The sequence below is a fragment of the Homo sapiens genome, chromosome 4 (genome assembly GCF_000001405.40).
Source record: "Homo sapiens chromosome 4, GRCh38.p14 Primary Assembly".
NCBI lineage: Eukaryota > Metazoa > Chordata > Mammalia > Primates > Hominidae > Homo > Homo sapiens.
In genome coordinates, this window is record NC_000004.12 from 165,344,468 (window position 1) to 165,362,984 (window position 18,517).

General features: G+C 41.2%; 1 long non-coding RNA gene across 1 annotated transcript, besides 2 other annotated features; it reads left to right on the forward strand.

Moving 5' to 3' along the window:
* Window positions 1,570-1,864: a silencer, noted in NCBI's record as "tiled region #3657; HepG2 Repressive DNase matched - State 13:Ctcf". NCBI's record gives its function as "represses a minimal TATA promoter and a strong SV40 promoter by Sharpr-MPRA in HepG2 cells {active_cell/tissue: HepG2}" and the evidence as "EXISTENCE:reporter gene assay evidence [ECO:0000049][PMID:27701403]".
* On the forward strand, window positions 3,728-17,045 carry LOC105377519 (uncharacterized). The gene is made up of 3 exons (XR_939416.2): window positions 3,728-4,148; window positions 7,524-7,671; window positions 16,623-17,045. It is a non-coding gene; the product is annotated as an uncharacterized LOC105377519 (long non-coding RNA).
* Window positions 6,981-8,180: an enhancer, noted in NCBI's record as "BRD4-independent group 4 enhancer chr4:166272600-166273799 (GRCh37/hg19 assembly coordinates)". NCBI's record gives its function as "activates an origin of replication core promoter dependent on BRD2, P300/CBP, MED14 and CDK7 cofactors, and independent of BRD4, by STARR-seq in HCT116 cells {active_cell/tissue: HCT116}" and the evidence as "EXISTENCE:reporter gene assay evidence [ECO:0000049][PMID:35650434]".
* Window positions 17,046-18,517: the final 1,472 nt, after the last annotated feature.

Sequence of the window (18,517 nt, forward strand, 5' to 3'; positions counted from 1 at the left end):
ACAAGATTATTTTTTATTTATTTATTTTTTAAGACAGAGTCTTGCTCTGTCTCCCACTGGAGTGCAATGGTGCCATCTTGGCTCACTGCAGCCTCCACCTCCTGGGTTCAAGCAATCCTCCCATCTCAGTCTCCTGAGTAGCTAGGACCACAGGCGTGTGCAGCTACATGCAGCTAGTTTATTTTTTGTAGAGACAGGGCCACACTATGTTGCCTAGGCTGATCTTGAACTGGCTCAAGCGATCCTCTCACTTCAGCCTCCCAATAGTGCTAGGATTATAGGCGTGAGCCACCGTGCCCAGCTGACAAGAGATACCCTTTGTTTCTTGGATTATCTATTTGGATTTTTACTAATTGTTTAAAAGTTTAGTTAATATTATAATTTAAAAATTAGTAGTAGAGTATGCTTAGAATTATAATTAACTAGTATTTTACTCTTTGCTACATATTTGGCTAACGACATGTAGACCTTTGGACAAGATTGGTTCTGTGGAGACTCTTACCCCAACTTCTAATTCTCATGCTCTTACATAAAACCTAGTAGGTTTTTTTGTTTTGTTTTGTTTTAGATAGAGTCTTGCTCTGTCGCCCAGGCTGGAGTGCAGTGGCACAATCTCGGCTTACTGCAACCTCGCAACCTCCACCTCCCGGGTTCAAGCGATTCTCCTGCCTCAGCCTCCTGAGTACCTGGGATTACAGGTGCCCGCCACCACGCCCAGCTAATTTTTTGTATTTTTTAGTAAAGACGGGGCTTCACCATGTTGGCCAGGCTGGTCTTGAACTCCTGACCTCGTGGTCCGCCCGCCTCAGCCTCCCAAAGTGCTGGGATTACAGGCGTGAGCCACCGTGCTTGGCCTAGTAGGGCTTTTTAATTCCACATTTAAGTTCTGTATTTCCACAGAGAGAGATAGTATCTAAGCTCTTCCTGAAGAGTGAGCACCTTGTTTCTGAAGGTTTAGCTCCTAATCCATTCTTGCAAAAGAATAGAATTTTTCAGCCAATGTTAGAAAGAGTAGCATGCTATTAGTCTAATGAATGCTGTCTCTGCAAGTGACTGCCAAATGTTGACATTCTTACATGAAATCATCAGAGGGCCATGGTAAAATGTCTTTAGTACATATGCTTAGAGGTCTGTTGCATTCTAAAAGTCTAAAGAAAAAGGACATGAATGGCTAGAATCTAAGATAGGAAATGTTACTTTCAAACTATTAGGAAGATAAGTAATTCAACTCAGGGACACAGGCTGCTTATTGTGCACTCACAAAAGGAAAGGGACCATGACGGAATGAGAACATGGGATAACTAACCTGCAAGCTGCGTATAGGATGCTGAAACCAGCACTGCTGGGATAGTAACAGGAGAGATTGCCATGTATGCCCTGCCAGCCGGTCTTGCTCCCTTGCATTATGAAGCTCCTTGGCTCCTGGTGATTGGCTCACTCCCTGGAAAGCCTTTCCCCCTCCTCTCTCTGGAGAGCTATTTCCTCATCTATGAAATGAGGATAATAATACTTCATGGGCGGTTTGTGAGGATTCAGTAAGATGCACCATGTGAAGTATGCGATGCGTGTAATGAATGTTAGCTATTTTTTTTAAATTCCCTCCCTTTATTTAAAGATCCGGTTCAAGACTCACCGCACCACTCCATCAGCCCCACTCTTCTTTCTGAGGTCTTATTTCTGCTTCAGATTAGAGAAATCTCTCCCACTCTCCCTCACTCAGAGTTCTGTAACACTCATCTCTACCACCTCTCAGCATACGCCACCTTGTGTTTTCTGCTTCAGACAGAGATTGGAAGATATTTTTGAAGAAACTGAACCCAACCCACAGAAAAATACATCCAAAGTTTGAAAAGATTGACTTGCTGCCTGATTATTTAAAATGGTTTTACAATCACATTTGCAAATTGTATTGCTACCTCTTTTTTAGCCAAAGATCTCTCTTTTGCACCGTGTGCTTTCGTTCTTCTGCACATTTGCTCATGCCTAACCTTCAGCCAGTGAATGTTATTAACATGGTCAAAGGCACGCGGGTAGTTCATGGCAAAGCTGACTGCAGAGCTGAGATCTTCCCACTGTGTGTATTTTCTCCCTTGGTATGTATACCTGGCACCTTGCCTTGAACATGGTAGGAGTTCAATAAATATCTGTCAATTAAAACGAAGAGAGGACATTGTAATAACATCATAATATAGGAGTGACAATTAAGCTGCCATTTTAGTAATCAGTTCAGAAGGTTTTTAGTAATTAACAGCAAATGATGGGGAAGGAGAAGACAAGGAAAGAAGAGGGTTCTTGAAATACAAGCCAGAGCCAGAACCAGGTGCAGGGGCTGCCGGGTTCAGTTGAAGTCTGGCTACATTCTAATGCTTTGGCATCTTAAAGTTTGATTTCACTGGTCATGTTCTTGTGGGATATGCAGCTTGATATGCTCTTTGAAGGAACAAATTATGTATCAGAGCACGTTCATGTCCGTTTGAGTTCGTGTCCAGCTAATAAAGAAAATTTAGAACTATTTAGTCTGTTGGCAGATTTCAATCAGACCTCTTGTATTCCATGAAGGTTCTCTGAGATTTTTTTTGCTATAAAATAATTCATCTGATAATAATAAAATATCATGATGGTATAGAGGTAGAAGAATAAGGAATTGGTCACTGCCCAGGAGTAGGTAATATACCATTAACATATTAGAATGGGAGGCTGAGCTACCTAATTTTTGCATTTCTATGTCACAGGAAAATGATCTTCAAGTTGGAAAAGGAAACAAACTAGCCCCGTTCAAAGGGAAGCAAATCCCAAAGAGGAGGAAATTTTTAGCAAAGTGTTTCATACATTTTAATAAACTTTTTTTTTTTTTTCGAGATGGAGTCTCGCTCTGTCACCCAGGCTGGAGTGCAGTGGCGCTATCTCGGCTCACTGCAACCTCCGCCTCCTGGGCTTAAGCAATTCTTCTGCCTCAGCTTCCCGAGTAGCTGGGACTACAGGTGTGTGCCACCATGCCTGGCTAATTTTTTGTATTTTTAGTGGAGATAGGGTTTCATCGTGTTAGCTAGGATGGTCTTGATCTCCTGACCTCGTGATCCACCCACCTCGGCCTCCCAAAGTCCTGGGATTACAGGTGTGAGCCACCGCGCCTGTCCTTAAATAAACTTTTAAGTCTCCAAAGTCAGATAACTTGCATTCCAGGTGACAGAAAGAATTTGTAAATGTGATTGTAAAGCCATAGATGATCAGGCAGCCAGTCAATCTTTTCCAACTTTGTTAAGTATTTTTCTGTGGGTTTGGTTCAGTTTCTTCAAAAAAATCTTCTAATCACTGTCTGGGGCAGAAACTGCTCATATGTCTTCATGCTGGGAATCACATATGTGGGAGGAGACAGGATCTGACAGTTGAGTGGGTTCCCTTTCACAGAATCCCTCTTCTGCCACCTGCCTAGCTCACCCAAGGCCTCCTCAGCATCAGGAGAGTCTTGAGCCTCTTCTGTTCCATTTCTCCAAAGAATAAATCTGCCCCTTGGGAAGTGTGGCTCTACAGAGTTGGAAAAGGGACCTGTGGCCTAAAGGCTTTGTAATAGAGTTTTGAAGTGAAATTGAAATGCTGGCTTTTAGTATTACACAATACCAGGGTATTTAATTTTTAATGGAACCACACCATACAAACACACCAGAAAAGCACACAGCTTGATGAATGGTTACATCCATTTGATCACTACACAATCAAGAGCGTGACTACTTCCTTTGTCAATTGTCCACTTTGGACCAGAAATGTAGTTAGAGTCTTACCTGGTTCAGCAAGTGAATCCAAATTCTCTTGACCAAGGAGAGTTTCTAGTGTTGTGACTTGAGGCTTTGCCTGTAGCCTTGTCCTGTTAAACATGTTTATCATTGACCTAGATAAGGCCACTGCTGCCAAGCTTATCAAATTTAATACTGAGGCAGAAGAAAAACAGCAACTGACACTTTGTTCTACAGGACAGAATCAAGATCCTGCAAAATGTTTGCCTTGATTTAAAAGTTCAGCTGCACAAATGGAGGAGAGGAAACATAACCAGGATTAACAGCGATACATACCCAAGAGCCGTAAGGATTTTAGTGGACTACAAGTGCTCACTTCCCCACAACTTAAGACAACCGTACGCTAAATTATTAAAGGTAAGCCTAAATTACAGAGAAGACAGTGATCTCCTTTTATTCTGCTTTGGTTGGTTACGGGTGGAAAAGCATATTATGCTTAGTGCATCATATATGACTAACATCCACAGGAGACAAGAGAGTAATCAGGATTTTTGTTGTTATTTTGTGTTTGTTTTTGTTTCTGAGACAGAGTCTCACTGTATTGCTCAGGCTGGAGTGCAGCGGTGTTATCTCAGCTCACTGCAACCTCCACCTCCTGGGTTCCAGTGATTTTCATATCTCAGTCCCCCAAGTAGCTGGGACTACAGGCACACACCCTCACACTCAGCTAATTTTTGTATTTTTAGTAGAGACAGGGTTTTGCCATGTTGTCCAGACAAGTCTTGAACTCCTGGCCTCAAGTGATCCACCCACTTTAGCCTTCCAATGTGCTGGGATTACAGTCATGAGCCACTGTGTCCAGCAAGGAATTGCTTAAGGTCTAGCAGTAATTACACAAGATAATTTAAGGAAACAGAGGGATAGTCTAGAGCAGCTCTGTCCAGTACAGTAGTCATGAGCTGATGTGGCCATTGACATCTCTGAGTACAGATTATAGAACATTTCCATCATTACAGAAAGTTCCATTAGACAGAACTGGTCAGAGAAAAGAGGACTAAATAGAAATATCAAAGGTGTGTTCAAATGTCTGAAATGATATTATGTAAAAGAGGGTGAGTCATTCATTATTGCCCCAGAAAGCATAAGTGTATCAGGAAATAAAGTTCTAGGTGTTTGCTGTTTAAAAATTCAAACTTTGGAAGAACTTTCTTAAAATTAGAGCTAGTTATCTTCCCCTTCATTGATGGTTTAGGCAGCAACTATAGGATTCTTAGTCAGTATATAACGAAAGAGATCCTTAAAATGAGGATGAATTTCTAAAAATAAATTTTATTTTATTATTTTATTTATTTTGAAACAGAGTCTCGATATGTTGCCCAGAGTACAGTGGCACAATCTTGGCTCACTGCAACCTCCTCCTCCCAGGTTCAAGAGATTCTCCCACCTCAGGCTCATGAGTAGCTAGGACCACAGGCGTGCACCACCACTCCCAGGGCTAATTATTGTATTTTTTAAGTGGAGAAATGGTTTCACCATATTGGTCAGGCTGGTCTCAAACTCCTGACCTCAAGTGATCTACTTGCCTCAGCCTCCCAAAGTGCAGGGATTACAGGCATGAGCCACTGCACTGGGCCTAAAAATGAATTTTAATTGATACATAATAATCATATGTATTTATGGGGTACAGTATGATATTTCATGATATAGTTGTATAGAATGTGTACGATCAAATCAGGGGAATTAGCATATTCATCACCTCAAGCACTTATCATGAAATGAGGATGAATTTGAACTGGATTATATCTCTTTTTTGAGACAGGGTTTCACTCTGTCCTCCAGGCTGGAGTGTAGTGGCATGATCATGGTGGCTGCAGCCTTGAACTCTTGGGCTCAAACAATCCTCCTGCCTCAGTCTCCTGAGTAGCTAGGACTACTGGCATGTGCCACCATGCTCAGATGCTCAGCTAATTTAAAAAAAAATTTTTTTTTTTTTTTTTTTTTTTTAGAGATGTGGTATTGCTATGTTGTTCAAGCTGGTCTCAAACTCCTGGCCTTAAGCTATCCTTCCATCCTGGCCTTCCAAAGTGTTGGAATTACAGGGATGAGCCACCACAGCTAGCCTGAACTGGATTATTTCTAATGATACTTCCAGCTACCATGGTTCTAATGTAGATATTTTAGTTTATTGTTGCAAACATTTTTAAGTAAAGCTTACAAGGTTTTTTTTTGTTGTTGGTGGTGGGAGGTTTTGTTTTGTTTTGTTTTTTGAGATGGAGTCTCGCTCTGTTGCCCAGGCTGGAGTACAGTGGCATGATCTCAGCTCACTGCAACCTGGGTTCAAGCGATCCTCCTGCCTCAGCCTCTCGAGTAGCTGGGGCTACAGGCATGCACCACCATAACTGGCTAGTTTTTGTATTTTTTTTGTATTTTTAGTAGAGATGAGGTTTCATCATGTTGGTCAGGCTGGTCTCAAGCTCCTGACCTCAGATGATCTGCCTGGGTCAGCCTCCCAAAGTGTTGAGATTACAGGAGTAAGCCACCATGCCCAGCCGGAAGCTTTGTTCATTTTTAAAAATTCTTTTGTCTTTGACAGATTGGGTTAATTCAAAAACCTTGTCTTTGAGCTCTGAAGTTCTTTCTTCTGCTTGTTTGATTCTATTGCTGAGACTTTCCGGTACATTTTGCATTTCTCTAAATGTGTTCTTGATTTCCAGAAGTTGTGACTGTTTTTTATTTATGCTATCTATTTCATTAGAGAAATTTCCTTTCATATCCTTTATCACGTTTTTGATTTCATTAAGTTGGACTTCACCTTTCTCTTGTGCCTCCTTGATTGGCTTAATAATCGACCGTCTGAATTCCTTTTCTGGCAATTCAGACATTTAATCTTGGATTGGATCCATTGCTGGTGAGCTGGTATGATCTTTTGGGGGTGTGGAAGACCCTTGTTTTGTCATATTACCAGAATTGTTTTTCTGATTCCTTATTTGGGTAAACTATGTCAGAGGGAGGATCCGAGATTCAAGGGCTGCTGTTCAGATTCTTTTGTCCCACAGTATGCTCCCTTGATGTGGTGTTCTCCCCCTTCCCCTTGGAATGGAGCTTCCTGAGAGCTGAACTGTGGTGACTGTTTGTGACCTCCACCCAGTGGAGCTACCGGGCTCTGGGCTGGTACTGGGGAGCATCTGCAGAGTCCTATGATGTGACTGGTCTTCAGGTCTTTCAGCCGTGGATACCAGCACCTGCTCTGGTTGAGGTAGCAGGGGAGTGAAGTGGACTCTGTTGAAAGTCCTTGCTTGTGTTTTTGTTTAGTGTGCTGGTTTTGTGTTGGTTGGCCTCCAGCCAGGAGGTGGCGCTTTCAAGAACTCATCAGCTGTGGTCCTATAGGGAGGATACGAACTTGCCCTAGGGACACCTGTTTAAGTATTCAGGTTTCTCAGGTGGTGGACAGGGCCATAGAGCTCCCAAGAGATAATGACCTTTGTCTTTGGCTACCAGGGTGGGTAGAGAAAGACCACTAAGTGGGGGTAGGGATAGGTGTGTCTGAGCTCATCCTCTCTTTGGGCAGGTCTTGCTGTGGCTGCTGTGGGGGATGGGGATGTGGTTCCCAGTCCAGTGGAGTTATATTCCCAGGGGGATTATGGCTGCCTCTGCTGAGTCATACAGGACTCAGCAGGGAAATGGGGGACAGCTGGCAGTCACAGGCATCACCCCACTCCCACTCAGCCCACAGTCCTAAAGGCTGATCTCACTCCCACTGTGTCCCCCCAACAGCACCAAATCTATTTTCAGGCAGCTGATGACCAGGGCTGAGAACTTGCCCCAGACCACGAGCCTCTCTGTTGATAAAGCAAGCAGACTTACAGTTTTTCGGCATCTCAGGGAGCCTGCAGCAGTGATCCAGTTCTTTCAAAGGGTCTGTGGATTCTCAGCTTTCCAGGTATGTTCCTGCGGTATTTCTCAGAGCAGAAGTTCATGATGTGCGTCTCCACAGGCTGCTCTGTCCATCCAAGCGGGAGCTGCAAGCTAGTCCTGCTTCCTATTCACCATCTTAATACATTCTTATTACTCAATAAAATACTTTTGATATACATTTAACAGAGAAAGTGAAAGTCTTACACAATGAAAACTACAAATATTGTTGAAAGAAATTAAAGCAGATCTAAGTAAATGCAAAGACATTTTTATGGATGAGAAAACTTAATATTGTGAAGATGACAATACTTCCCAAATTTATCTGCAAATTCAATGCAATCTCTATCAAAATCCAAGCTGCCTTTTTGTAGCAAATTACAAGCCAACCTTAAAATATATATGGAAATTCAGTAGACTCAAAATAGTCAAAACAATCTTGAAAAAGAAGAACAATTTAGAAGACTCATATTTCCCAATTTCAAAACTTACTACAAAGTTACAGTAAGCAGACAGCGTGGTTTTGGCATAAGGGTAGACATATAAAAATGGCGTAGGTTTGAACTTCAGATGTAAACCCTGATAGTGATGGCAATAGATTTTAACAGTGTTCCAAGATAATTTAAGGAGTAAAGAACAGTATTTTCAACAAATAGTGAAGGAACAACTGGACATCTACATGCAAAAGGATGACATTATAGATCTACCTCACTCCATACACAAAAAAGTAACTCAGATGATAGCACTAAATGTAAAAGCAAAATTGATAACCCTCTTAGAAGGAAGTGAAGGAGTTGCCTTGGATTAGCAATGATCCCTTATTTATGACCCCAAAAATACAAGCAACAAAATAAAATGATGAATACAATGGACTATGTGAAGAATTTTGTGCTGCAAATGATACCATCAAGAAACTGAAGACAATACACAGAATGGGAGAAAATATTTGCACATCCTATATCTGATAAAGAATTTGTGTCCATAATATATAAAGAACTCAAACTCAATAATAACAACAAGAGATAACCCAATTCTCAGCAAACTAACACAGGAACAGAAAACCAAACACCACATGCTCTCACTCATAAGTGGGAGCTGAAGAATGAGAAAACATGGACACAGAGAGGGGAACATCACACACTGGGGCCTGTTGGGGGGTTGGGGAACAAGGGGAGGGAGAGCATTAGGACAAAGACCTAATGCATGCGGTGCTTAAAACCTAGATGATGGGTTGATAGGTGCAGCAAACCACCATGGCGCATATATACTTATGTAACAAACCTGCACATTCTGCACATGTATCTCAGAGCTTAAAGTAAAACTTAAAAAAAAAAAAAGATTTGAATAGACATTTCTCCAAAGAAAATATACAAACAGCCAGCCAGGCACAGTGGCTCACGCCTATAATCCCAGAACTTTGGGAGGCTGAGGCAGGTGGATCACAAGGTCAGGAGATCGAGACCAGCCTGGCCAATATGGTGAAACCCCATCTCTACTAAAAATACAAAAAGTTAGCTGGGTGTGGTGGCAGGCACCTGTAGTCCCAGCTACTCAGGAGGCTGAGGCAGGAGAATTGCTTGAACCCAGGAGGTGGAGATTGCAGTAAGCCAAGATTGTGCCACTGCACTCCAGCCTGGGCAACAGAGCGAGACTCCATCTCAAAAAAAAAAAGAAAATATACAAACAGCCAACAGCCAATATGTACATTAAAAGTTGCTCAACATCATTACTCTTTAGGGAAACACAAGCCCAAACCACAATGAGATGTTACTTCACACCCATGATAATGGCTGTAATATAAAAGATAAGCAATAGCAAGTGTTGGAAAGGATGTGGGGAAGTTGGAACCTTTCTATGTTGCTGGCGGGAATGTTAGATGGTGCAGCTGCTTTGAAATGAGTTTGGCGGTTCATCAAAATATTAAACATAGAGTTACCATAGGACCCAGCAATTCCACTCCTAGGTATATACCCAAGAGAAATGAAAATGTATGTGAACACAAAAATTGTACATGAATGTTCATAGTAGCATTATTCATAATAGCAACAAGAGGAAACACTCCAAATGTCTATCATCTAATCCAGTGGTCCCCAATCTTTTTGGCCCCAGGGACCGGTTTCATGGCAGACAATTTTTTCACAGACGGGGTGGGGGTTGGTGGTTTTGGGATGAAACTGTTCCACCTCAGATCATCAGACATTAGATTTTCATAAGGAGCACACAACCTAGATCCCTTGCATGTGCAGTTCACAGTAGGGTTTGCGCTCCTGTGAGACTCTAATGCCACCACTGATCTGACAGGAGGTGCAGCGCAGGTGGTAATGCTCACTCACCCACCACTCACCTCCTGCTGTGTGACCTGGTTCCTAACAGGCCATGATGGGTACTGGTCCACAGCCCGGGGATTGGGAACCCTTGAACTAATGAATGAATTAAAAAATATGGAATACTCATACAATGGCATGTCATTCAGCCATAAAATGAATACAGTACTGATTCATGCTACAGCACGAATGACCCTTGAATATACTATGAGAAAGAAGTCAGTCACAAAAGACCATATATTATATATATGATACCATTTATATAAATTATTCAAAAGAGATAAATTTATAGGCACAGAAAGTGGATTTGCGGTTGCTTAGGGCTGGGGGTTGGGGCTTAGGAGGGAAGAATAGGGACTGACTGCTTATCCACTAGCAGGTTTCTTTTAGGGGAGCTAAACATGTTCTAAAATTAGATTGTGGTGATGGTGGCATGGCCCTATGAATATACTAAAAGACATTGAATTGTATACTTTAAAAGGGCAAATTGCATGGTACATGAATTATTCCTCAATAAAGCTGTTTAAAAAACAAAAAGGCAAACAGTTAGCAGTGTATTAGTTTGTTAGGGCTGCCATAACAATAAGCAACAACCTGGATGGCTTAAACAAGAGAAATGTATCGTCTCACAGTTCTGGAAGCCAAAAGTGAGATCAAGGTGTCAGCAGGGTTAGCTCCTTCTCAAGTCTCTGAGGGAAAATCTTTTTCATGCCTCCCTCCTAGCTTCTATATTTCTTTTTCCATTCCTTTTTTTTTTTTTTTTTTTGAGAAAGAGTTTTGCTCTTGTTGCCCAGGCTGGAGTGCAATGGCATGATCTCCGTTCACTGAAATCTCTGCCTCCTGGTTTCAAGTGATTCTCCTGCCTCAGCCTCCTGAGTAGCTGGGATTACAGGCGCCTGCCACCATGCCCAGCTAATTTTTATAGTTTTAGGAGAGATGGGGTTACATCATGATGGCCAGGCTGGTCTCAAACTCCTGACTTCAGGTGATTCACCCACCTTGGCCTCCCAAAGGGTTGGGATTACAGGCATGAGCCACTGCGCCCGGCCCCTCTTAGCTTCTAATAGTTTGCTGGCATGCCTTTTGCATTTCTTGGCTTGTAGATGCATTACCCCGGTCTCTGCCTTCATGTTCACACCGTATTCTCTCTATGTCTATCTTTCTTTGTGTCCTGATTTCCCATTTTCATAAAAACAACAGTCATATTGACCCACCCGTATTACCTCATCTTAACTCGATCATTTGCAAAGGTCCCTTTTCCAAATAAGATCACATTCACAGAGAGTGGGGGTTGGAGTTAGGACTTCAACATCGTTTTGGGAGACACGATTCAGCCTATAACAAACAATATGGACATGATTTCCTTAATTGTAAGATCAGAGATGCTAGAATAATGCTTACTTACAAATAGCTCATCCCATTCTCTAAGACTGTAATACAGAAGGAAGATTTTTTTTTCTATCTCTTCTTAGCTTGAACACTTATCTGGAAGGCAATGTGATTTTCTGAGACAGGCAAAGACATTGCATAATAATTCTGTGTCCTCAATGACCTTAAAAGTCATTTAGTTTAGTTATCTACTCAGAGTTTGAATCTCCTTCCTGTGACAGACAGACTATTTTTTTTTTTTAAGGGGGCTGTGAGCTGAGACCACTGGAGAGCAAATTCAGCATTTGGCAATAGTTCACTCACCAGCTGGTGGCAGTATTTTGCTTGAAGCTGTGAGGCCCGAAGACTGAGCACAGGAACTACTTAGACCTCAGTGTGGAGTCAAACTCTGCCATTTACTGTGTGACTTACTTGTGTGCCCTTAGACACGTCACTCAAGTGAATCTCTGTTTCCTTGTACATAAAATGGGAATAATGATGCTCCTCTTGCAAACTTTTAAGAATGAAACACAGCCATAAAGAAAAACACACCAAACAGCAGAGTGCCCAACTCATATCAGAAACAACAGCAACAAAAAACCAACAAATTTTTAAAAAAGCAAATGATGCTTAATTTTCTGAATTACTTAATTAGTATTTTAAAAATAGACTGCCAGCCAGTTGGACCCAAGAATATGGAAAATCTGAGAACCAGTGCAGATCTTTTTCACTGGAAACTATTATTTTCCCATGCACACACTGATTATTACAGGTTTGCCAATTTTTTTCCTGTAAAATGTGATGGGTAGATATATGCAATATATAAAAATAATTTGATATAACTACCAAATATATGTTTAAACTTAAAATATCCATTAGTTCACAGTATACAACTTTTAATGGTTGTGTTAAGAACAAAAACTTTTACATTTTTTCAATTTGGGAATTTTACATTAAAATGATTTTTATCAGCTATTTTATCAGTTTTTTCTGATTTTCATTCAAATGAATAATCTCTTATCATGTAACATCTGTTATAACACCTCAAAAACAAGAGTGATTTTCCTGCTGTGAGGAGTGCTGTGCTGGATGGAAAGCATAAATAACCCGGGACTAAGTGGTTCAGCTGACTTTTCCCCCCAGACAATTTAGGTTACCCAAATGAATGATCTTTTCATGGTTTTGTTTTTTCATTCTATTCCAGTTTATTTTTACCTTTTTTTTTTTTTTTTTTTTTTGAGAGAGTGTCACTCTGTCACCCAGGCTGGAGTCCAGTGGTGTGGTCTTGGCTCACTACAACCTCTGCCTCTTGGGTTCAAGTGATTCTTCTGCCTCAGCCTCCTGAGTAGCTGGGATTACAGCATGTGCCACCATACCCAGATAATTTCTGTATTTTTAGTAGAGACAGGGTTTCCCCACATTGGCCAGGCTGATCTCGAATTCCTGACATCAAGTGATCTGCCTGCCTCTGCCTCCCAAAGCTCTGGGATTACAGGCTTGAGCCACCATCTCCGGTCTATTTTTACCATTTAATCAAGGGTTTTCTCTAGCCATCCCTGGGTTCTGCACAAAACTCACATATTAGAAAGCGTTCCTCAGACAAGACTATGAAGACTAAGAATTATTCTCGAATGTGCTAGTTCAGGGCAGTGGGGATGAGCAACAGGATGGCAACAGTATTCTGAGAACTGGCTATTGAGAAAATTCCTTTTTAATAGGGCAGCATGCCTGCTTTACAGCTTTCATTCTTTACTGAAGAGTCCCAGACTAAGAAATCAGCAGTGATTAACATCTAATCCTGGCCACCGGGTGTTAGGGGAAAGTGGTTGTCCTTCAGAAACAAGGAGCCAATTAGAAATAAGTCATGAAGCATTTTCTTGGTCTTACTGAAATAGTGAATCTCCTTCCCTCCCTCCCTCCCTCCCTGCCTCTCTCCTTCTTCCCTTCCCTTTTTTGAAAGAGAGTCTTGCTCTGTCACCCAGGCTGGAGTGCAGTGGCGTGGTCTTGGCTCACTGCAACCTCTGCCTCTTGGTTTCAAGTGATTCTTCTGCCTCAGCCTCCCGAGTAGCTGGGATTACAGGCATTGCCTTCCCTTCCCTTCCCTTCCCTTCCCTTCCCTTCCCTTCCCTTCCCTTCCCTTCCCTTCCCTTCCCTTCTTATTTAAGCCATTTAAATTTAGTTTAGTTGCAATAAACCAAGTCTAATTCATCTACTCAGGACTTCGAAGTCAGTACTGTTGCATTCCAGGTTTCTTTGGTTACAACCTGTATCTCCATATAAACTGGCAGGAGTAGGTAGTGGTGATGGGTTCTTCATCAAGCCCAGCAACATTGCTCTCATACCTGCATTAAGCCACAACCATCAACTGTTTCCCGCAATTATGGAAGGAGTTGCAGCTTAATGAGTGTAGATTTTGAGCAAGTTATTTTTGAATTGTTGAGGTTCGACTTAAATAGCAGCATATCAGATGTCAACTGAGGAGCATAGCTTGATCTCTAAGAATTTATGTATTCATTCATTCAATCAATAATATTTACTTAGTTTTCCATTATGTGTCAAATGCTGCTAGGTGCTAGGGTACACTAGGGGCCTTGAGAGACAAGATTCCAGCCCTCGCACAATTTATAGTACAGGGGAGATTATGGACAATGAAATAAGTAATTATTAAAAACCTCTGAAACGTGAGAGAGGCTTAAGGAACTCTGAGATCACATAGCAACAGTATCTTTTTTGCTTAATGGAAGCTGTTAGGACAAAGCTCCCAGAGGAAATAATGTGTACCATGAGACCAGAAGGACAACTAAAAGCTAACCAGAAATGAAGGGGGACAGAGGGGAAGAGTGATTCAAGTAAAGGCAACAAAATATGCTAAGATCTGCTGGCAAGACAGAGAATAGAATAAACCAGATACTGAAAGAAGATTGTATGATTGGAGAGGATGCAGAGATGGCGGGACAAGTTGGAGAAATGTGCAAAGCTAGGTCATTATGTGCTTTGGAGTTTGTTTCTGAAGCTTTTTAGACAAGGGAGGCTGCCCTGCTGCAATGCTGTGCACAAGAAGCAAGAGAAGTGGAAGGAAGACCATAGAGCTTTGTGGCTTGTTTCCATCAGCAAACCTGTGTGACTAACCCTCACCTGTCCTCTATTTCCTCTCCTGCATAATCCTATCAGTTCAAGGCACCATTTGTGCCATTTATTTGTTTATTTACTTATTTATTGAGACAGGGTCTCTCTCTGTCGCCCAGGCTGGAGTGCAGTGGTGCAATCTCGGGTCACTGCAACCTCCACCTCCTGGGTTCAAGCGATTCTTGTGCCTCAGCCTCCCGAGTAGCTAGAGGTGCACACCACCACGCCTGGCTAATTTTTCTATTTTTTGGTATAGATGGGGTTTCACCATGTTGACCAGGCTAGCCTCGAACTCCTGGCCTCAAGTGATCCACCCACCTCGGCCTCCCGAAGTGTTGGGATTACAGGCGTGAGCCACTGTGCCTCGCCTGTGCCATTTATTTTGATGGTGCTTTTGGCACAGCACTTGTTGGCTGTCTGGACAAGCATGGGTTAGTGGTAGATACCTAGGAGTGGATTTATTAAATCGCTAATGAACTAGCATAGGTATTGGGAGTCAGCCTGAACAAGCTAAGGAGATAAGAAGCTAGTTCCCAGGAAGAGCTAAAACCAAGTTCAAGTAGGGATGGTGGTGGGGTTGTTAGGGTTTCTGCAAGTAGTAAATAAAATATAAGAAAACTCAAGGAGCCAAAATATTGGTTTGCCGAGGCAAGGAAACAGAAAGAACAAGTTAAAAAAATTGAAGCTTGGAAGAATCCTTTATTAAACAATTTTAAGCAATGTGGCAGCCGAACCTAATTTTTTTACCCAACCACACAGTATTAATGACTCATTGTGTTTGGTAACACTTCCTGCCATAAGTGTCCCAAGGAGCTGGGGTGTGGTGTGTTCTGAATCTGTCAATTCATTAATTATTTAACCAATCTAGTTATTGAACATTCATTATACAATTAGTCCTCATTTAATGTCATCAGTAGGTCTTGGAAACTGCAACTTTAAACAAAATGACATATAAAGAAACTAATTTTACCATAAGCTAATTGATATAAACAAGAGTTAAGTTCCTACAGCATACTTCTGGTCATAAAACCACCACGAGCTTCTAAATAAAGACCCCAAACACTTCTAATATTAAACACGGAAAAAATTGTGAGCTATATGTACATTTAGGAAAGATTAATTTTAAAAAGTAAGATTATTTACTTGCTTATTTCACTTCAGGGTCATAGGTGGCTGGAGGCTGTCCCAGCAGCTCAGGACATAATGTGGGAACCCACTGGCCAGGATGCCATTCCATGGCAGGGCACACTCATACACACACCCACACTGGCTCAGACCGGGACAATGTAGACACATCAATCAAATCAACATGCACATCTCTGGGATGTGGGAGGAAACCGGACTACCAAGAGAAAACCCACGTAGACACAGGGAGAACGTGCAAACTCTCCACAGATGTTGGCTGGCTCCAGCTGGAAATCATTTTTCTTTCTCATCAATGTTGGAACAAAATGACATAATTCAAGGACCTGCTGTGTATTGTTTTCAGAGTGTTCAAAATACTCCAAAAATCACTTCTTAAAAGCATATGTTTTTCCCAGCCCTCACTTCTGCTAAATCCCAATTGAAATAAACTCTCCTCTGCATGATGATTGGTTCTAGACAGGGAATGTGCTTATCACTGGATGAGGCAATCTTGTTTCTTCAGCCTGGAGAGGGAGGTCTGAATACTTCCCTGGTAGGAACTACAACTTAATCAATTTCATATTCCTTTCTGACCACATCTTACTCAGTAAAAGCCGAGCCCGTGGCATTTACTAGGTCCTAAATAAAAGTTTGTTGAATGAATGAATGGAAAGCCCTCCAGTACACCATGGAAATAATGCTGTTTTCCTGCCACCCTGTCTTCACTATTTCCTATTTATATGAACTTGCACAGGTTATTTAATGTTTCTAAACTCTATTTTTCTTATTTGTAGCATATGGTAAGTAGGTGGAAGATTAAAGCCGATGACTAGCACAGAGTCTGGTTTAAAGACATTAGCTATTAGTAAGGTTATGAGGAATTACATTCTTTTAGAGGTAGATGGGTTCTTTCCTTGAAATGTTTAAAGTTTAAATTAGAACCTTTGGCATATAGTTCTTGAGGATTTAAATGAAAATGTTAGGACATATGAATTATTCATTCTTTCAACAAATATTTATTGAATCTCTTTTATAGACTAGGCTCTGGTGATAGGTCACCTTCCATCGGGAAAAGAAAGCAACGCAAGTAAAGAAACAACATCATTTTGTGATGATGCAATGAAGGAAATAAACAAGAAGATATGATAAATAGTACCTGGAGCGCCTACTTCACAAGAAAGCCTGAGAGAGTCCAGTTGTACTCAAGGAGAGGGAGAAGTAGCCAGGAGACAGATCCGGTAGGACTGTGAAAGCCATGGTAAGAAGCTGGGAACGTATCCCAAGTACGTTGGAAAGCTGCTGGAAACTTTTAAGCAGGGAAGTTATACAATCTGATTTACATTTTGAAAATGGCTCGCTGTTTGAGTAACAAATTCTAAGTGGGCAGATGCAGAGGCAGGAAGACCAGTTAGGAAGTGACTGAAATGGTCCATGTGAGAGAAGTTAGTTGGTGGCTTAGTTTAGGGTAGTGGCCAAGGCAGTGGTGAGGAGTGGGTGGGTTCCATGTATAACATGAAGATAGAATTGATAGAGATTGCTGATGTGGGATGTGGGAAAGGGAAAGGTCAAGATTGCAAATGAATTTCATTTAACAAATATTGAGGCTATTTCTGAGATAAGAAAGACTGGGAGGAAAACAGGGTGGGTTTTTTTTTTTTTTTTTTTTGGCAGGGGGAGGAGAGAGGGTCACAAGTTTGGAAATCATATCATCCAAGAAGATATGATTATAGATTATAATAAAAGATTAGTGTACTGCTGTGAACATCTGTGTCATTTTCAGAGCTACCACCGTGGATTCCTGAGCAACTTAATGCATGCTGTAAATAAAGAGGCTGACCCACATCTTGTGGCTAAAGAACAAATCAAACATCCTTTGTGACATTTGTCTGAAAAGAGGGTACCATGTGATTTTCATTTTGTCAACTTCACTCCCAAAGGGTATTTAAGAGAAAATGCACGTTTAGCATTTTCTGAACATTATATTAGTGGAGGGACTCACATAACATTTTGTAAGTAGACCATTCTAAGTAACATCTTTTTAATTCAGTTTTTTGGTATCTTGTTTTTAAATAGCAGAGTATACCATTAAAGTTAAATCTGATGAACACCACCAACACATTTTAGAGCTAATAAAGGCATATCACACTTTATATGTCTTTGGTAAGGATACAAGAATATTAATTTCTAGCCGGGCACAGTGGCTCATATCTGTAATCCCAGCACTTTGGGAGGCCAAGGCAGGCAGATTGCTTGAGCCCAGGAGTTACAGAGGAGCCTGGGAAATATGGCAACACCCCATCTCTACAAAAAACACAAAAATTATCCAGGTGTGGTGGCATGTACCTGTAGCCCCAGCTACTAGGGAGGCTGAGGTGGGAGGATCACTTGAGCCCGGGAGGTCAAGGCTGCAGTGAGCCGTGATGGTGCCACTGCACTCCAGCCTGGGCAACAGAGTGAGATCTGTCTCCAGAAAAAAAAAAAAAAGGAAAGGAAAGAAAAATAATTTCTTTTTAGATAGACAGGAGGAGAACATAGAAAGTTAATTTGTTCTTGGCTCCTTTAGGTTTATAGCATGTTGTTCTAAAATAGAATTGGCTCAGCTCCAAAAACTTAAATAGAAGGTAATTCTAAAGTATATTTTTAAGCCAATAATAATGTATATTTTGACCCAGCATTTGCTTGCTTTGAAATGTATTCTTTACAAATTTAAGTGGCTTATCAGTCAATGTAGATAATAAAATGAGGTCATTGTGAGGATCAAGTCAGAAAACGCAGATGAAACACTTTGTAAACACTGAAGTACTTTGTAACATAATTTTTAAATTATTATTATACTATTGTGTATCTTTAGTAAGATGCAGAGATGTCTCAGTTTGATTTAGGACTAATCATAAGAAAGGTAAATTTCCCACACTTACTACATTGAAATAG